The sequence below is a fragment of the Homo sapiens genome, chromosome 10, assembly GCF_000001405.40.
Source record: "Homo sapiens chromosome 10, GRCh38.p14 Primary Assembly".
In the NCBI taxonomy this organism is placed as follows: Eukaryota; Metazoa; Chordata; class Mammalia; order Primates; family Hominidae; genus Homo; species Homo sapiens.
Window position 1 is genome coordinate 102,251,474 of NC_000010.11, and position 20,158 is coordinate 102,271,631.

Genomic DNA, 20,158 nt, shown 5'->3' on the forward strand with positions numbered 1-20,158 from the left:
CTGAGATAGAGCCTGATAGTCCCATGGTGGTGATACACTAAATAAATAATTATAAATTAGTATAAGATGTGTTTATTTTTATTTTCATTTATTTATTTGAGGCAGAGTCTCACTCTGTCACCCAGGCTGGAGTACAGTGGCACGATCATACCGCAAGGCAACCTGGAACTCCTGGGCTCAAGTGATCCTCCTGCCTTAGCCTCCCAAGTAGCTGGGACAACAGGTGTGCGCCACCACACCTGGCCAATTTTTCTTTATGTTTTGTAGAGACAGGGTCTCGCCATGTTGCCTAAGCTGGTCTTGAACTTCTAGGCTCAACTGATGCTCCCTCCTTGGCCTCCCAAAGTGCTGGGATCACAGACATCAGCCACTGTCCCCAGCCAAGATATGTTTAGAGATAACTACAAAGTGCTGTGGGTGGCCGGGCATGGTAGTTCATGCCTATAATCCCAGCACTTTGAGAGGCCGAGGCAGGCAGATCACTTGAGGTCAGGAGTTTGAGACCAGGAGTTTGAGACCAGCCTGGCCAACATGGTGAAACCCCAACTCTACTAAAAATACTCTGCTAAAAAAGTGGAAAAAAGGGCTGGGCGCAGTGGCTCACACCTGTAATCCCAGCACTTTGGGAGGCCGAGGTGGGCAGATCACCTGAGGCCGGGAGTTTGAGACCAGCCTGACCAACACGGAGAAACCTCATCTCTACTAAAAATACAAAATTGGCCCGGCATGGTGGCGCATGAATGTAATCCCAGCTGCTGGGAGGTTGAGGCAGGAGAATCGCTTAAACCTGGGAGGCAGAGGTTACGGTGAGCCGAGATTGTGCCATTGCACTCCAGCCTGGGCAACAAGGGGGAAACGCTGTCTCAAAAAAAAAAAAAAAGTGGAAAAATAAATAAATAAATAAATAAGTGGTTTTAAGATTGTTCTTAGAACCACTGTGATATTCTGACTCCCTCATTGACTTTTGGATGGAATGAGTAAGGGTTTATCAGGTGGACAAGAGTGAGAAAAAACATTCAGAATAGAAAGGGAGCTTCATATGCAAAGGCAAAGAGGCAGCAAAGACCATGACTTTAAAAAGTAGGAATGATGTGGCGTGGTGGCCCACACCTATAATCCCAGCATTTTGGGAGGCCAAGGCAGGCAGATTGCTTTGAGCTCTGGAGTTTGAGACCAGCCTGGGCAACATGGCAAAATGTTGTCTCTACAAAAAATACAAAAAAATTAGCCAGGCATGGTGACTCATGCCTGTAGTTCCAGCTACTTGGGAGGCTGAGGTGGGAGGATCGCTTGAGCCTGGGAAGCAGATATTGCAGTGAGTCAAGATTGTACCACTGCACTCCAGCCTGGGCGACAGAATGAGACCCTGTTTCAAAAAAAAAAAAGGAACTTTTTAACTTTTTAGGGTCTTTTATTTTATTTTATTATTATTATTTTTTGAGCCGGTGTCTTGCTCTGCTGCCCAGGCTGGAGACCAGTGATGCAATCTTGGCTTACTGCAACCTCCACCTCCTGGGTTCAAGCAATCCTCCTGCCTCAGCCTCCTGAGTAGCTGGGATTACAGGCCCCTGCCATCATGCCCAGCTAATTTTTGTATTTTTAGTAGAGTGGGGGTTTCACCATGCTGGCCAGGCTGGTCTCAAACTCCTGACCTCAGTTGATCTGCCTGCTTTGGCCTCCCAAAGTGCTGGGATTACAAGCATGAGCCACTGCCCCCAGCCGAGGGGCTATTTTAGACAAAGAATATGTGTAGCTTATATGGGGCACCAATGGCTGCCACCCAGCTTGAAAAATAACATCACCAAAACTGAGGCTGCATGTATGTATGCCCTTCCCTGTTAGTTCCCCCACACTCCCTGCCGCTTGCCACTATTCTCAATTTTTTTGTGTGAGCTTCTCTGGGGTATAGTCCTAGAAGTGGAATTGCTGAAATATAGGATATGAAGTGCTTTAGCTTTGTAAGATAATGCCAAATTGTTATTCAAATTCATATTAATTTAGATACATACCAGCCACTTGGTCTGCATTTTTTACCAACTTAAAAACAATTTTTTTTTTGAGACAGGGTCTTACTCTGTTGTCCAGGCTGGAGTACAGTGGTGTGATCGTGGCTCACTGCAGCCTTGACCTCCTAGGCTCAAGTGATCCTCCCACTTCAGCCTCTCAAGTAGCTGGGACTACAGGCACATGCCACCATGCCCTACTAATTTTTAAATTTTTTGTAGAGATGGAGTTTTGCTATGATGCCCAGGCTGTTCTCAAACTCCTTGGCTCAAGTGATCCTCCTGCATCGGCCTCCTAAAATGCTGGATTATAGGCGTGAGCACCTGGCCTTTTAAGTATTATCAGATTTAAAGTGTTTTGCTATTTCAGGAATGTAAAGTGGTATATCATTATAATCTTATTTTGTAATTTTCCTGATTATTAATGAAGCTAATAATCTTTTCATATATTTATTTGCTGTTTATGTTTCCTATTCTGTGAAACACCTATTCATCTCTGTTGCCAATTTTGGGGAGGGGTTATATGTCTAGTTCTTATAGTTTTGTAGCAGTTATTGTATACTCTGGATATTACTCCTTTATATTAGTTATATGTGCCTCAAATATTTTCTTCTGGTTTGTGCCTTATCTTTTCCCTCTTTTTTATGTTGTCTTTTGAACAGGCATTTTTAATTTTAACATGGTTGAATTCACCAATTTTTTAAAGAGGTTTTGCTTTTTGTTTCTTGTTTAGGTACTTCTCCCTTATGCTGAGTTTATAAAAATACTCTCCTGTAGCCAGGTGCTGTGGCACACACCTGTTGTCCCAGCTACCCAAGAGGCTGTTGTGGAAGGATTGCTTGAGCCTAGGAGTTTGAGTCCAGCCTGGGCAACATGGCAAGACCCTATCTCTAAAAAAAAATCAAAAAGAAAATATTCTCATATATTAGCTTCTAAGAGATTTCAAGTTTTGCTTTTCATATTTAAATAACCTGAGATATATTTTTGGTATTCCATTAAATAAGAATACAATTTATTGTTTCTTTTTCTCCTGCTTTTGTTGGATATAGACAGAGTTGCCAAGTGATACAGTGACTCCTCTTTGGATCCTGTTGAGGTAACTGGGATGCCACAAAGCACTAGGGGAATGTTCTAGACCCAGCTTTAAATGGACAGTGGTTTCAAGGGTACATGTTACTCAGAGTCTCTGGGCCAGTGGCTTATCTGGCTAAGGGTGTTAGTTGGTATTTATTTAGTTGTTCCCTCTCTTATTTATTTTTTTCTATTAATTTTTCATTTGTGTGGGTACATAATGAATGTATTTCTCTTGTTATTTCTGACACAAGATAAATCTTAAGTTCGTTTCTACTATACTTTTATGAGGTTTCTGCAGGCCTTTATGACCTTGTGACAAGGGATTTCTTGGCCATTGGCTACCAGGCAGCAAGTGGTTCATCAGTTTCCCATCTGAAGCTGAAGGGCACAACTGTTTGGAGATTCCCTGAGTGAGGGGACATACTCAGAGACCTAGAAGGAGATTAGGCAGCTCTGCATAGTACTTGAAAATAATTCCTCTTCATTCCCTAGATGTTTCTTTTTTTTTGAGACAGAGTCTCACTCTGTTGCCCAGGTTGGAATGCAGTGGCGCGATCTCGGCTCACTGTAACCTCCACCTCCTGGGTTCAAGTGATTCTCCTGCCTCAGCCTCCCAAGCAGCTGGGATTACAGGTGTGTGTCACCACACCTGGCTAATTTTTGTATTTTTAGTTGAGGTGGCGTTTCACCATGTTGGCCAGGCTGGTCTTGAACTCCCAACCTCAGGTGATCTGCCCACCTCAGCCTCCCAGAGTGCTGGGATTATAGGCGTGAACCACTGCGCCCAGCCCTAGATGTTTCTTTTTTACAATGATTTTTTGCTTAGACCTTTGCTGTCTTAGAAAGTGGTTACTTCTTTTCTAAAGGGCTTATTCATTTTTAGTCAATCAGCTGATTAAAATTTAAAAGTAGTTAATAGGTAATATATGTTTGTGACACAAAATTCAAAAGGTAAAAAAGAATATACAGAGAAAAGTTAGTCTTCCTTTCACTCCTCCACCACTCAGTTCCATAGTCATCCAGTTTCTTTCCCTGGAGGCCGTAACCTCTTAGCATTTTCTTACAAGTCCTTCCAGAGACCTAGAGCATATTCATCTTGCCTACATAATTTAAGGAAAGGGAAATACCAGGAAAGATTTAATCTTTTCTCTTCTGATACTTTAAATCATTTTTGAATATATCTTTCTTCTATTTCTAAGTTCTCCTCCTCCTCAGAAGAGAGCGTGGTTGTACATTCATATCATTGACACTTCTCAGAAGAGAACGTTGTTGTGTTCCTAGAGCATTTGGAAAGCAGATAGTCTTCTGAGATTAACCTAGTTTTTTAAATTGTCATTAATATAAATCTTGTGTTGGATTCCCTTGTGGACTGGGGAGCTGTCATGGGCATGGACACATTATTATTATTATTTTAAGACAGAGTCTCGCTCTGTTGCCCAGGCTTGAGTGCAGTGGCACGAACGCGGTTCACCGCAGCCTCAATCTACCGGCCTCAAGCAATCCTCCCACCGCAGCCTCCCTGGCAACTGGGACTACAGGTGTGCACCACCACACCTGGCTAATTTTTGTATTTTTTATAGAGACAGGGTTCGCCATGTTGCCAAGGCTGGTCTCGAACTCCTGGGCTCAAATGATCTGCCCACCTCAGCCTTCCAAAGTGTTAGGGATTACAGGTGTGAGCCACTGCGCATGGCCCCTGGACAAAATTTGTACCAGTTTCTTTTTCCTTTATCATGGTGGTTTTCATGCTTTTCACTTTCTTGGGGGGCCTCATCTTATGCAAAATATGCAAATTGAGCTACTTGCTAGGTACATTTCTTTCTCTATTATCTCTGGCTGTGTCTGTTTTTGTATCTATTCCACTAAACTGTATAAATGCCTCAAGGACATAAATTATATACCTCTTATCATTATTAATGTTTAATTATATTGATAGTACAGTAATACATTCTCTTTGTAAAAAAAAAAAATTTTTTTTTTTTTGGGATGGAGTCTGGCTCTGTTGCCCAGGCTGGATGGAGTACAGTGGCATGATCTCGGCTCACTTTAACCTCTGCCTCCCAGGTTCCAGCGATTCTTCTGCCTCAGCCACTCGAGTAGCTGGGATTACAGGCGCCCTCCACCACACCTGCCCAATTTTTGTATTTTGAGTGGAGATGGGTTTCACCATGTTGGCCAGGTTGGTCTCGAGCTCAGGTTATCTACCTGCCTTGACACTCCTGAAGTGCTGGGATTACAGGCATGAGCCACAGTGCCCGACCTTCTTGTAAAAAGTTAAAATATTACAGATCCAGCCTGGGCAACAAAGTGAGACCCCATCTCTACAAAAAGTACAAAAATTAGTTGGGTTGGTGGTGTGCGCCTGAAGTCCCTGCTACTCAGGAGGCTAAGGCAGGAGGATTGCTTGAGCCCAAGAGTTCAAGTCTGCAGTGAGGCATGACAGTGCCACAGGACTCCAACCTGGGTGACAGAGTGAGACCTTGTCTCAAAAAAACCCCAAAAGACAAAACGATTACAGATAAGGCTCAAGTATCCTCTGATTGCACCCTGTTTTCACAGCACCTTCTCTAGGAATAATTATGGTTATAAGTTTGGGTATATTAGCACAGACCTTTTATTTTATATTTACATATCATATTAATGCTTTCTTGCTGTCAGTTAATATGAGTTTTCAGAACTTTTCAAAGGTCTTGTCACTGTCACTGTCCAGTTTTCTGGAGCTGACTGGGCAGATTGGATGCAGTCATTTGTTTATATTTATATTTATATATTTTTAGAGATAGTGTCTTGCTCTGTGACCCAGGCTGGAGTGCAGTTGTGGGGTCATAGCTCACTGCAGCCTCGAACTCCTGAGCTCAAGTGATCCTCCCGCCTCAGCCTCCCCAGTAACTAGAACTACAGGTGTATGCCACCATGCCTGGCTAATTTTTTAGTTTTGTTTTTTTGGTAGAGACTGGGTCTCACTGTTTGCCCAGGCTGGTCTCAACTCCTGGGCTGAACTGATTCTCCTGCCTTGGATTCCCAAAGTGCTGGGATTGCAGGTGTGAGCCACTTCACCTTGTCTGGATGCAGCCTTTACGCTGACATTGCAACTGTGGTTCTAAACCAACACTATGCTTCCAACAACCTTTATTCTTTTCTTTAACTTGAATCTTTAAATTCAAGTTAAATTTTTATTGAGTAGATTAAAAAGAACAAAGGGAAGACTATATACTTAGGAGAGAGCGAGAGAGAGTGTCTCGATATGCTGCCCAGGCTGGTCTTAAATTCCTGGGCTCAAGCAATCCTCCCGCCTCGTCCTCCCAAAGTGCTAGGATTATAGGCATGAGCCACCATGTCTGGCCAGAAATATTGTTTTTAACAAGCTGACATTACAGTTGTATCTGTGTACTTAAAGGCATCATAGGACTTTGGGAACAATTGACTTTGAAGAATTTGACATGCTTCCTGAGGATTGTTGAGGTGCCTTTGAAAAATGTTCTGGATTGACTCGCTTTGAGTTGTATCTTGAACTACCTTGAACTTCTAAAGACCCCCAGGAGAGCCAGATAGTTGGATTCATAACATAAGATGGACTTCATCTCATTTTAGTATTACAGATTTTTTTTTTTTTTTTTTTTTTGAGGTGGAGTTTCACTCTTGTTGCCCAGGCTGGAGTGCAATGGGGCGATCTTGGCTCACACAACCTCTGCCTCCCAGGTCCAAGCAATTCTCCCATCTCAGCCTCCCGGGTGGCTGAGATTACAGGCATGCGCCACCTCGCCTGGCTAATTTTTTGTGTTTTTAGTGGAGAGAGGGTTTCTCCATGTTGGTCAGGCTGGTCTTGAGCTCCCGACCTCAGGTGATCCACCTGCCTCTGCCTCTCAAAGTGCTGGGATTACAGGCCTGAGCCACTGCACCTGGCTAACAGATTTTATGAGTATAGAAAATTTTGGTACTGGCCAGGTGCAGTGGCTCACGCCTGTAATCCCAGCACTTTGGGAGGCCCAGGCGGGTGGATTACCTGAGGTCTGGAGCTCGAGACCAGCCTGACCAACACAGAGAAACCCCGTCTCTTCTAAAAAAAATACAAAATTAGCCAGATATGGTGGCGCATGCCTGTAATCCCAGCTACTCAGGAGGCTGAGGCAGGAGAATTGCTTGAACTCGGGAGGCAGAGGTTGTGGTGAGCCAGGATCACGCCATTGCACTCCAGCCTGGGCAACAAGAGTGAAACTCTGCCTCAAAAAAAAAAAAAAAAAAAAGAAAGAAAGAAAGAAAATCTTGGTACTGAAAAGTTAAATCACAATTCTAACCTTATCAGGTACTGATTTTTAAACTTGGGTATGCTTTGGGTAACCAAATATTAACCAGACTATTATCTTAACTGTTTTGGTAGGTTTGCCAAGATGGTGGATAAGAATATTTACATCATTCAAGGGGAGATTAACATTGTGGTTGGGGCCATCAAACGAAATGCCCGATGGAGCACCCATACACCACTGGTAAGTGGGAAATGGATAAATAGCCTGGTCACTAAGTTTTTATAGGGGATCTGTTGGCATGGTTAAAAGAGTAATCAAATTCCTAGTAATAATGAGAATAGTAGGAATTCAGAGTTGTTCTTGATATCTTGTTTTTTTGTATCCCAACTAGCATCAGATATATAGGCTATCTTTTTTTCTCTGGGACCCAAAAGATGACACCATTCTTCTTCTAAATATTTTTGTAAACAGCTTAAGCTAGTCCTGTGCTTGGGACCTCTTTAGTATGCCTAAAAGTATCAGAAAGATTCTTTATTTTCTAATTCTTTAGGGCTATAATTAGCTATCAAATTTATTTAAATCAGGGTAGTTATTGATACATAGAACATGACTTAGTGATGGTACTCCTTCTTGGGGGTTCAGCAAACTTCCATATATAGAGTAGGCCATATCTTACCAATCAGATGAGTAAGAAACTTACCTGTTATACAGTTGGCTTTCTTTGCTATATATGTTTGAGGACTTTTTTTTGTAGAATTGTGTAAAACAATTTTTGGCCCAGTTGTAAAAGCAAGTTTAGAAATTGCCAACTTGGGAGTTTATATGAACATAGTTGGTAAGTGCATTTGGAAATTTCTCAAGTTCTTTCATAAAAATGTATTGATTTAAAAGTGAGCATGGCATCAGGAATATCTTTGAAATGAATATGTATGATGACATAGTGGGTATGAAAAGGGAGAGAAGACAGAATAATACACATATAAAGGACCTGGCAATCTGTAGTAGCTTGAGTGTTATGGTGATGATATAGATTAGCACTTAAGAATTCACTATTTTGTATAAGCCCAGAGTATCTCTACGAAATAAGAGATTAGGGTACAGAAAAATATGAACTATGGCTAATTTTCTTTTCCTCAGAAGGAAAACTTAAATGATTTTCTGATTGGATTCATAGAAAGAGCCCTTGATCTGTCCTTTATTTTCCTTTTCCTCTTTTGGCCCAATAATGACTTACTTTAATCTATGTGTTCTACAGGATGAAGAACGGGATCCTCTGCTGCATAGTTTCGGTCATCTAAAGGAGGTTTTAAACAGTATAACAGGTAAGTCTCCATATGTATGTGGATTACTAATCTTGGTAAAAAATATGTGTTTGATTTATTGAAAGGATAGACAAACTTTTTGTATAAAGGACTTTATAGTAAATAATTTAGGCTTTGTGGGCCATACACAACTGCAACTACTTAACTCTGCCTTTGTAGCTCAAAAGCAGCCATAGATAATATATAAATAAATGAGAAATATATATTTTCTTTTTGTTTATTTCATAGAGACAGGGTCTTGCTATGTTGCCCAGGCTGGTTTCAAATGCCTGAGCTCAAGCAATCCTCCTGTCTTGGCCTCTCAAAGTGTTGGGATTCCAGGCTTGAGCCACTGTGCCTGGCCTATATTTTCCTTTCTTCTTTTTTTTTTTTTTTTTTTTTTTGAGGTAGAGTCTCTGTTGCCCAGGCTGGAGTGCAGTGTCATGAACTCAGCTCACTGCAACCTCTGCCTCCTGGGTTTAAGCCAGTCTCCTGCCTCAGCCTCCTAAGTAGCTGGGATTACAGGCGCGTGCCACCACACCTGCCTAATTTTTGTATTTTTAGTAGAGACGGGGTTTCACCATGTTGGCCAGGCTGGTCTCAAACTCCTGGCCTCAGGTGATCCACTGCCTCGGCCTCTGAAAGTGCTGGGATTACAGGAATGAGCCACTGCGCCTGGCCTATATTTTCTTTAAAAAAAAGAATCTGCAAGCCAGATTTGGCCCATGGGTGCAGTTTTCCAATCCTTGGTTTATTGCATTGGTTTCAGTCTTCATGATCTTTCAGTCTTCATGTGTTCTAGAATCATTTGTCCCTTTGTTTGCCCCCTATTTTCCTAATCACGGTAACCTTATATAATATATTCATATGTTTAGAATTTTCAAAGCCATTTTCACATTTATTACCTTATTGAACTTTTATACAACCCTGTGAGGGAGGCATGGCAGCTATTGTCCCCTTTTTGTGAAAGAAGTTAAAGCCCAGAGGAGTTTAAAGTGATTTAGCTGAGGTCACACTAATCCTAAGAGGTGGAGTCAAAACTAGAATTCAGGCCTCTGTTGCCTGGTTTAGGGCTCTTTGCTCTATATTGCTTCTGTACATGTGATTAGAAGAGAATGTACACATTAAGTACCTTATATTTGTGTGTGTGTGTGTGTGTGTGTTTATTTTATGTATATATATACACACACACACACACATATACACTGGCAGGAAAGGAGGAAAGTGTCAAAACCAAGGGGATGTAGATACAGACTGAAAGGGACAGCCTCAGAGCTATGTTCCTTTGTTGACCACAAAGGGCTCCTGCAGTGTATAACCCTGGAATGCTTTTGGCTAGTGACATATGTCAGACTGTAATTGGATAGTGTTTAGGCTTCTGCAAATTAAACAAACAATAAGAAAATTTCTTCTTTTCATTAGAAATATGGGAGAAGATCTGGAGAAAAAATCTATTTTACTTTCCTAAACATGGGCTAAAGTTATCTAAGAGTTCCCTACATATTTTCTTTCTTTCTTTCTTTTTTTTTTTTTTTTTTGAAACAGTGTGTCTCTCTGTTGCCTAGGCTGGAGTGCAGTGGTGTGATCTCGGCTCACTGCAACTGCAACTTCCGTCTCCCAGATTCAAGCGATTTTCGTGCCTCAGCCTCCCAAGTAGCTGGGATTACAGACGTGCACCACCACACCCGACTAATTTTTGTATTTTTACTAGAGACGGAGTTTCACCATGTTGGCCAGGCTAGTCTCAGACTCCTGACCTCAGATGATCCACTTGCCTTGGCCTCCTAAAGTGCTAGGATTACAGACGTGAGCCACCGTGCTCAGCCCATATTTTCTTTTTGTGCAGTGGCGTGATCTCAGCTCACTGTAACTTCTGCTTCTTGGGTTCAAGCAAGTCTTCTGCCTCAGCCTCCTGAGTAACTGGGATTATAGGCGTGTGCCACTATGCCTGGCTAATTTTTGTATTTTTAGTAGAGATGATGTTTCACCGTTTTGGCCAGGCTGGTGTTGAACTTCTGACCTCAAGTGATCCGCCCACCTTGGCCTCCCAACCATATTTTCTTTAAAGGAGCAAATTTCACTCAATTGAAACAGCTTGGAAATGTTAGCTAAGAAGGATCAAGTATAGAGGAGGCAATTGTTGACTAGTTAGCAGGGCAAATGCTGCTACTAGGTGGCATGTTCTTATTTTATGGCCTGTACCGACTGGTACTTGAGTGCTTTAGAATGTTGGCTACTTGCACAGATTTTTTTTTTTAATTTTACAGATAAAGCTTACATATCCCAATTAGAAAGGAAATATAATGAATGGAGATTTACAGTTCTTTTTGTTTGGTTTTGAATTCAGAGTACTGTCTTCTTAAGAGATATTAAGAGGATCAAACAAGTTAATATAATTGGAAACACTTGGTAAACATCTTATACACAGTGAAGGATTGTTGTTATAAGTGACTGGGAATACCCTAAAATGACTGAGATCACCCTGGCCTTGTAGGCCTTTTGGTCATTCTGCAAACCTTGAGGAGCTGAGGTGGTGCTGCTATCCTGACAGAGCCACATTTCCTGCCTGCTACTGAATCCAGATCCCATGCTTATTTTCTTCATGCTAACATGTCCCAAGATTTTACCTCAGAGACCATACCTGTGGTGAATGATGCAGTCTAGGAATTGTAGACTATTTAAGAGCTATCAAAGTTGAGTCTGACGCCTGATTTCCTTACGTCCTTGGGTCAGAAATCCAGCCAGATTATCTGCTCTTGGAACTAGTAAAACCAGAGTGTGTTCAGGAGCCATTTCTCTCATTGGTGGTAGGAACATCTCTGGGTGTTGCTAAGCTTTCCCCTGGAGTGAGAGGGAAGGGAGTAGTGTTTTCCAAGGCCAACAGCTGTGGCATGTCTTGAAATGGTGCCTGCCAAGGTTGCTACATTGTTCTTGGTTTTTAGCATATTACCTGCCTGAGAAAATGACAGAATAGACCTAAAATAGAGCATTTATGGTCTTCATATTGCTTCTGACCCCACACACAGTGCCGGCTCCCAGGAGCAGGTTTATGGGTCAGCTGTCCCTGTGGTCCTGGACTCTGCAACCCATGACTAATTTCTTGTTTCTTTTACGGAAACAAACAGATTTTTCTGATTGGCAGTGTCAGGAGGACTGCTTTCCTGGAAGCTTATTAATGGTAGGAGGCTGGGAAAGGGTTTTTAACTTGGAGAGAAAACTGAAGGGAATGTGCTTGTGTTAGATGACCAGTTAAGGTGTACCACTTAGATTGGAGGAGGGATAGCAGGAATTCTAGGACTTCTACCCAGTTTCTCATGAAACTGACTTGGACATGGTCCTTTTTTGCAAAGGGTTTCTGTTTGCATTTTTCTAGGCTTTCTGCTGGCTTGATTGGTAAGACTATCACTGTTGGAAATGGGTGGTTCATTGGACATTGTCAGTAAACCAAAATGATTTTTTTTTCTCTTTTTGTAGAAAGAATCTTTAAAATGTATAAGTACTACCTACACTACTCCTCCAGGAATATTATCTCATTATTGTGAAGGAAATAAGTCCTTTTCTCCAGTAAGGTTGGCTAAGTCCATACTAGTTTTTCTCACAGATGTATGTCATTGGACCACATTTACAGTCAGTATTTGCCTAAACTGTATGATGACTACAAGGTCTATAGCATTTAGAGTAATAAGATATTCTAATAATACCAAATTTGAAAAGAGGGTTGCTCTTGGAAGAAAAAGGGTGTCCAAGAGCAAAGTTTGCATACTGTTACTTTGGATAAAGCTTTAGCTTACCACCAGTGAGAGAGACTTGACTGCTGTCCCTCATTTGGTCTTGAAGTCCTCTCAGGACTCCTTTTAGATTATTCTGAAGGAGTTAAAACAGATGTGTGGTTACCAGGGGCTGGGAGGGGGTATGGAGAGTGACTGCTAATGGCTACAGGGTTCCTTTTTGGGGTAATGAAAATGTTCTAGAATTAGATAGTAGCGATGGTTGCACAACTTTGTGAGTATACAAGAAACCACTGAATTGTATACTTGAAAAGGATAATTTTATAGTATGTGAATCATATCTCAGTTTATAAAGGAGGCAAATGTAGGCTGCAGAAGTGATGGATTTGCCAGTTTTTTCTCAGGTCTCAGAACTGTGGAGGGAAGTCTCTGTAGTCACTGCTGTGCTTTGGACCCATTACCCAGCAAAGGCAGCATAAGGCTCTGTTCAGCTTCTGGCCCAGTTTGTCCTTTTATGTCTCTCTCATTAACTCAAGGAAGCACATGGCTTTTATATTTAAATTTATTCAAACTGTAATCTTTGACATTTGAGTTAGCTTTTAGTACAGTTTTGCATTTATAGTAATATATATTATGTATTTTCTCTATCCCCAAAGAATCCGTTTTAATCTTTTCCGGATGCAAATTTCAGGCTGTCTTGTCCCATCTTCCCTCTCTTGCTCTCTTTCCCCTCCCCCCACGGAGTGTGTTTGATCAGGTGTGGCAGGAATATCCACTGTCAAGCTGCGCCCTTTATATTAGTCAATATTATCCTTCTCCCCCCTCCCTGTCTGTCTGCCCCTTTGGGCTTTCCCAGTTGATTTATAATTTTGGAATTCTCATTGGAGTCTGTAATACAGTTTGTTCATTATTTAACCAAAACCTGTTTAATGAGCAGAGAGAGGCAATGTAAATGTTAGGCATGTTGCAGTGATGTACCTTTGTGCTTCTCAGAGCGGGTGGGTAGTTAACTCTGTGCTGCCTGCAGGGCTGGGGTGTCCTGGCCTTAGGGGCAGAAGGGCCACTGCCTCTCTCTTACATCTGCCCAAGCCCTGCCATGGGTTTAGATTCCAAAGACACATTTCCTTTTATTCTTCTAAGAATCTTTTGGGGCTCTTGCATATGGGAGTTATCTTCAGTCTCGCAGCTAGACCTTGTGGTAGGATCTGTGGCATGGGATGGGGCATGGAAGGGAAAGTGAAATATCAGGATACTTGATATTGCTCTTGGTTTTAGATCTGACAAGAGTAGACAGTTTATGGGAATGCTTCTAGCCAATATGGTCTGTGGTCTTTGATCTCTTTGTTCCCAGACTAGATAAATTCTTGCAAGCCTTAGTTCCCTTCATCCAGTATAGCTTTATGGAAAGGGCTATAGTCAGTTGTGAGTTGTGGTGTTTGGTTGTAGTCATTTGCCTCCAGATATAGTCTGTCTTTGTCCTTGGTCTTTAAACTTAGATCATTACAAAGAGATTCTTTTCCAGAAAATTTTTGGTTTAAAACAGGAGAGGAACAGTCTAAAAGTATCACAACCAGGCTAGGTGCAGTGACCCACATCTGTAATCTAGCACTTTGGGTGGCCAAGACAGCAGGATTACTTGAGGCTGGGAGTTCGAGACCAGCATGGGCAACATACCAAGATTCCCCCCATCTCTACAAAAATAAAAATAAAAAAAATTAGTTGGGTATGGTGGCGTACAACTGTAGTTCCAGCTACTTAGGCTGAGGCGAGAGGATCACTTGAGCCCAGGAGTTCGAGGTTACAGTGACCCATGATTGCGCCACTGTACTCTAGCCTGAGTGACAAGAGTGAGACCCTTTCAATGAATGAATGAATGAATGAATGAATGAAAGAAAGTATCACAACCAAAATCTTCTCTTATGGGATCATCTTTTAATGACTTACTTTAAAGCCTTCAGGGCCAGGGCTTGAGGAAGACTTCTTAGGGTGTGCGTGTGTCTATGTGCGTGTGAGGGTGTGGTGGTGAGGAGTTTGCCTTTGGAGATTTAGTCCCAGGTCTTTTTAGCTCTGAGGACCTAATGTCCAGTTTTGGTTATCAGGACTGGGGTTCTCAGTGTAAGACTAAGGTGGAGGGCCGGGTGCGGTGGCTCACGCCTGTAATCCCAGCACTTTGGGAGGCCGAGGCGGGCAGATCACGAGGTCAGGAGATTGAGACCATCCTGGCGAACACGGTGAAACCCCGTCTCTACTAAAAAAATACAAAAAATTAGTCGGGCATGGTGGCAGGCGCCTGTAGTCCCAGCTACTCGGGAGGCTGAGGCAGGAGAATGGCCTGAACCTGGGAGGCGCAGCTTGCAGTGAGCCGAGATCGTGCCACTGCACTCCAGCCTGGGTGACAGAGCGATACTCTGTCTCAAAAAAAAAAACTAAGGTGGTCTTGAGGCCCAGTATAGGTACCCATATTAACTATAACATTGTTCTAGCTTCTTAGACCTTTTCTTTTGGGGATTCTCCAAGATTTGGATTCCTTCAGGGCCTAGCTTATTGAGTTGCTTCTAACTGATATTTATTGACTATCTGGTATGTGCCAGGCATTTTTCTTAGGTACTTAGGAAGTGGGTCTGTAATGGTAAACAATCAGTCAGACTTCCTGCCCTCATAGCCACTGGTTTGACAGGACTAATGACTCTAGCTGATCATTCCAAAGCTAACATTTTGTAGCCTCTACTTTATGCTATATGGTCCCTATCAGGCATGGAATGGATGACCATGAGTGAGAGCAATCTGCTGCCAGCTTTTCTTATTCCTGCTCTTTCCTTAAGGAACAAGCCAAAGAAATAAGTAAAAACAATAGCTCATATTTGCTTATTTGGCTTTCACATGTAAAGCTGTTATGGCCAGAGTTTAGCTATTCCCAAAGACATTGGTGGGTTGCATAGCGTAATTCTGGGGGATAGGATATTTCTTTACAGAGCTTACTGGGACAGCAGGTTATGGCGTGCTTGAGTTTAAGAGGGAGAAGCACGTGCCAGGAGAAAGTGGATGTGTCAGGAGTTTATTTAAGTATAGTTTATCCTGGACAAACACACCTGTAGGGTACTGTCTGTCTCAAGCTTTGTGAATTCAGAGTCTGAGCTAGGAGGTTTGAGTCCATCTAACCTCCAGAGGTTTGCAGAGAACATTTAAACAGAGTCTGGAAGCCAACTTGGGAGGAACTATGACTTAACACCTGTCTGGCCTGGGCCTCTTAGCAGTAGCCGCTTAGGTAGAAAAGAAACTGTTTGAGAATGCCTGATACCTCAAGTTTAATCTGTTTCATTTGGAAAATGGGGAGGTGTAGAGAAAAGAGATTTTAGTAGTCATTGTCAGGAAAAAGATTGAATAAGAGTATATTATATGTGCCAGGCATGGTGGCTCACACCTGTAATCCCAGCACTTTGGGAGGCTAAGGCGGGTGGATGACTTGAGGTCAGCAGTTCGAGACCAGCCTGGCCAACATGGTGAAACCCTGTCTCTACTAAAAATACAAAAATTAGCCAGGTGCGGTGGCGCATGCCTGTAGTCCCAGCTACTCAGGAGGCTGAAGCAGGTGAATTGCTTGAACCCAGGAGGTGAGATTGCAGTGAGCTGAGATCGTGCCACTGCACTCCAGCCTGGGTGGCAGATCAAGACTCCATCTCAACAACAACAACAACAACAACAACAAAAGCGAGTATGTTATATGAAAAAAATTTGCTGGAGTCCTATTGATTAAGTGCCTACTTTTATTTTTTCCTACAGGGGTCTATAGTTTAGGGAGTAAAGTAATATATCATTATTAATCAGCATGAGAAGAAGGTTGAATGGGTCATCAGCTTTTGTTCCACTTGGAATTGAGCTTGTGAATTGTTCAAGGCCTAAGTAGGAACTAAAAGAACCAAATGTGATAAAATTTGGCAGACAAATTTTGTGAAGGGCTGAGTGTTAGGAAAGGCAATGGGCACACTTAAAAGTATCCATTTCCTGTGCCCTGTTTTACTTTCTTGGTTTATAATATAAAACTATAGTTGAGTAATACATTAGAATGTGACTTGAATTTGAGTCAGACTGACTTTGGCACCTTAGAATCTCTGTAACTTGAGTGGCCACAGACTTGTAGACATTTCAGCACAGTTAGAGTGAATAAAGGTACTGTGATTCTTTTTTTCCCCAGGGACTATTCATATTAAAAGGGTAGCTCCAAGAGGCCTATATTTTGATGACTTGATTTTGCCATTTCTTTTTACTGGGGCCTTCCCCAGATGATTTATGAATGCTCTTCATTTGACACTTTTAAACCAAGAAGTTCTTCCAAACATTTGTTTGTACTCAAGGTTAGGAAATGAAGACTCTTGAGAAGAAACAGCTCTGCATAATCTGTCCTCTCATGGGTTCAGCTCTCTCTTTTTCTCTTCCTCATACCCAGGCACACTTAGCCATCAGAACTAGTTTCCTGGCTGTTGAGGGGGCACATTTTCTACTGCATGTATCAGAAAAGGAATTGTGTAAAAAGAGGGAAAAGCATTCTTAATAGTTTAGCTCTCAAAAACAGAGAAACCTAATTTCTTTGTAGCAAAGGTTAGGGGGCAGTGTAACAGTGTGGTTTGTGGTGGGTATCAAAGTTGCTGGTGTTTTTATTGCATTTGTCCTCTTTAGCACAGCTACCTCTTGAGGCCTGAAACTTCTGAGTATATGCCCAACTTACCATGACAGCAGTCAGATGAGTAAAAAGAAAGCCAGCTGCTGTTTTTTTTTCAAACAAGGAGGCAGGCAGAGTCCCTTCCTGCTTTTCCACCCATTCAAACTCAGGACAAGTGCCAAAAGGGTTTCAGAAGAAGCCAAATGCTTGAAATTCAATGTGTTGTTTTGATTAGGAGAGATAGTGAAGAGTTTGTCTCAGCCTTGCCCCCCTCTGACTATCTCTCTATGTTCATAGATACTTAGTTGATAACCCAGTTTCTGAAGTGATAGTGGATATGTTTATGGAAAGGGTGAGTACATTTGTCTTTTCTCTCCTGGCATCTGTTAGAAGATGGAGTTGGCTATAGAGCAAAATGGAGATAAGATCATTTCAGCTCAGATCACTTCATTAAGAAAGGGTAATAGATGGAGAGCAATGACTACTTTAGGCTCTCAGTTTTACTCTAGGAAACCAGGAGATAATTTGCACCTCACCAGTTTAGGGGCCTTTATTCCTTTCCTTTATTCTTTGAAGATCCTAAAGAACTTAGATGGACAAGCACTTCTGGCTGTCTGTTGGCTGGGTTCTCATGGCATGTCTCTTCTGTAACATCAGCATTCTGTTACCACTGTTACCACTGTAGGTCGAGTTGTGAAGGGCTGCCACATGTGCACAGATCACAACTGACCTTTCCTTGTTCCACGCTTATTGAGCAATTACTTGCCCGTTTGTGGAACTCACATTATTGTCTTGCATTTCTGGCCCAGTGTGAAGTGGGGGCATCCAGGAAGTGGCCTAATGGACTGTACATCAGAGGGCAATAAATTGGCATATGATTTGGTGGAAAGGCAGGGCCAGATGTAGTGTGGGAGCTAGAGTTTTTCTGCAGTCAGCCATGCAGCTTGCTTCCAGGTGTCCTGGAAAGCAGCTTGGGAACTAGAGGGTAAGAGTAGTTGAGGACATTCACTGGGGAAGAAAAGGATCAAAAGCACTTCAGTGTTATCTGGGATTGGCCCTGAATTGAAAAAAAATCCTCTAAAAGTAGAGGGACAAATGAGATTTCCCTGACACTGACAGGGACTTTTCCACAGATTATTTTTTGTTTTCAAGTAAAGTGAGTTATTGTAAGAAAAAAAATCTAAAATTTGAGAGACCCTTGACAAGAGGATGTAGAATGAGAAAGCCTCATTCCAAATGAGTTTTTGCATTTAAGAAAACTGGTACCAAATTGATTAAATGAAATGAGAGCTGATATGGTATTACAACTGCCCTGGGCTACAGTGGTGTTTTTCAGACTGTAGGTTGATTTGCATTAGTGAATTACATCACTGTAATGGGTTGCATGGCATTCTCTCCAATTTTTTTTTTTTTTTTGAGACGGAATCTTGCTCTGTCACCGCGGCTAGAGTGCAGTGGCGCGATCTCAGCTCACTGCCAGCTCTGCCTTCCGGGTTCACGCCATTCTCCTGCCTCAGCCTCCCAAGTAGCTGGGACTACAGGCGGCCGCCACCATGCCCGGCTAATTTTTTGTATTTTTAGTAGAGATGGCGTTTCACCATGTTAGCCAGGATGGTCTTGATCTCCTGACCTCATGATCTGCCCGTCTTGGCCTCCCAAAGTGCTGGGATTACAGGCGTGAACCACTGCACCCGGCCTTTTTTTTTTGAGACGGAGTCTAGCTCCATCACCCAGGCTGGAGTGTAGTGGCGCAATCTTGGCTCACTGCAACCTCCGCCTCCTGGGTTCAAGCAATTCTCCTGCCTCAGCCTTCTGAGTAGCTGGGATTACAGGCACGGGCCACCACGCCCAGCTAATTTTTGTATTTTTGGTAGAGACAGGGTTTCACCATGTTGGCCAGGTTGGTCTCGAACTCCCTCGGCCTCCCAAAGTGCTGGGATTACAAGTGTGAGCCACTGTGCCCGGACTGCTCTCCAGTTTTTTATGATGAAAAATTTTAAACTTAGCAAAAATTGAAAGAATACCATAATGATTACCCATATTTCACATTTAGAGTCAAAATTACTAACATTTAGGCATATTTGCTTTATCCGTATATGTGTATTATCATTTTTTTCATGATCCATTTGAAAATAAATTGCAAACATGTTGACATTTCACCCCTAAATACTTCAGCATGAATCCTAAATAAGGATGTTCTCCTACATAATACCATTATCACAACTAAGAAACAACAATAATTTGCCAATTCTAGTTAATATCCAGTTCATATTAAACATTTTCCGTTTGTCCCCAAACTTTTATAGCTATAATTGGTTTTAGAAACCAAAATCCAAGCACAATTCTCATTTCATTAGGTAGTTATGTCTTTTTAGACGTTTTATTTTATTTATTTTAGAGATGGGGGTCTCACTGTGTCACTTAGGGTGGAGTGCAGTGGTACGATCATAGCTCCCAGCAGCTCAAGCGATCCTCCTGCCTCAGCCTCCTGAGTAGCTGGGACTACAGGCGCATGCCACCAAGCCTAGCTAATTTTTTATTTTATTTTATTTTATTATTATTATTATTATTTTTTGAGATGGAGTCTTGCTCTTTCGCCCAGGCTGGACTGCAGTGGCGCTATCTCAGCTCACTGCAAGCTCCGCCTCCTGGGTTCATGCCATTCTCCTGCCTCAGCCTCCCAAGTAGCTGGGACTACAGGCGCCCGCCACTGCGCCCGGCTAATTTTTTGTATTTTTAGTAGAGATGGGGTTTCACTGTGTTAGCCCAGATGGTCTCAATCTCCTGACCTCGTGATCTGCCCGCCTCGGCCTCCCCAAGTGCTGGAATTACAGGCGTGAGCCACCGCACCTGGCCCATGCCTAGCTAATTTTTAAAATTTTTTGTAGAGACAGGATCTTGCTGTGTTTCCCAGGCTGTTCTCAAGCTCTTGGCCTCAAGCAATCCTCCCACCTTAACCTCCCAAAATTGTTGAGATTACAGGTGTGAGCCACTGCACCTGGCCCTAGGCTTTTAAAAGACAATTTTCTCCACCTTTTTTTTTTTTTTTCTTTTGCATTGGCTTTTTGAGGACACCAGCCCATTTATGTTTAGAATGTTCTACATTCTGGATTTGTCTGTGTCCTTGTGGTATCATTTAACTTGTTCCTCT

At 42.3% G+C, this 20,158-nt stretch overlaps 1 protein-coding gene across 37 annotated transcripts in view, besides 2 other annotated features; it reads left to right on the forward strand.

The window, feature by feature from the left end:
* Window positions 1–20,158, forward strand: part of GBF1 (golgi brefeldin A resistant guanine nucleotide exchange factor 1) — a 152,254-nt gene that overhangs the window by 20,831 nt on the left and 111,265 nt on the right. For all 37 annotated transcript variants that reach the window (NR_165086.1, NR_165089.1, NR_165088.1 and 34 more), the window contains 2 exons: window positions 7,456–7,561; window positions 8,577–8,643. Coding sequence is in view for 31 of the 37 variants with exons in the window: in NM_001391924.1 (NP_001378853.1) it covers window positions 7,466–7,561; window positions 8,577–8,643 (163 nt within the window). In the remaining 6 variants the exon portion in view is untranslated. The remainder of the gene's footprint in view (window positions 1–7,455; window positions 7,562–8,576; window positions 8,644–20,158) is intronic.
* Window positions 18,008–18,508: an enhancer, noted in NCBI's record as "H3K4me1 hESC enhancer chr10:104029238-104029738 (GRCh37/hg19 assembly coordinates)". NCBI's record gives its function as "activates a minimal SCP1, AML or CMV promoter by ChIP-STARR-seq in naive and primed H9 embryonic stem cells {active_cell/tissue: H9 hESC(naive and primed)}" and the evidence as "EXISTENCE:reporter gene assay evidence [ECO:0000049][PMID:30033119]".
* Window positions 18,509–19,009: an enhancer, noted in NCBI's record as "H3K4me1 hESC enhancer chr10:104029739-104030239 (GRCh37/hg19 assembly coordinates)". NCBI's record gives its function as "activates a minimal SCP1, AML or CMV promoter by ChIP-STARR-seq in primed H9 embryonic stem cells {active_cell/tissue: H9 hESC(primed)}" and the evidence as "EXISTENCE:reporter gene assay evidence [ECO:0000049][PMID:30033119]".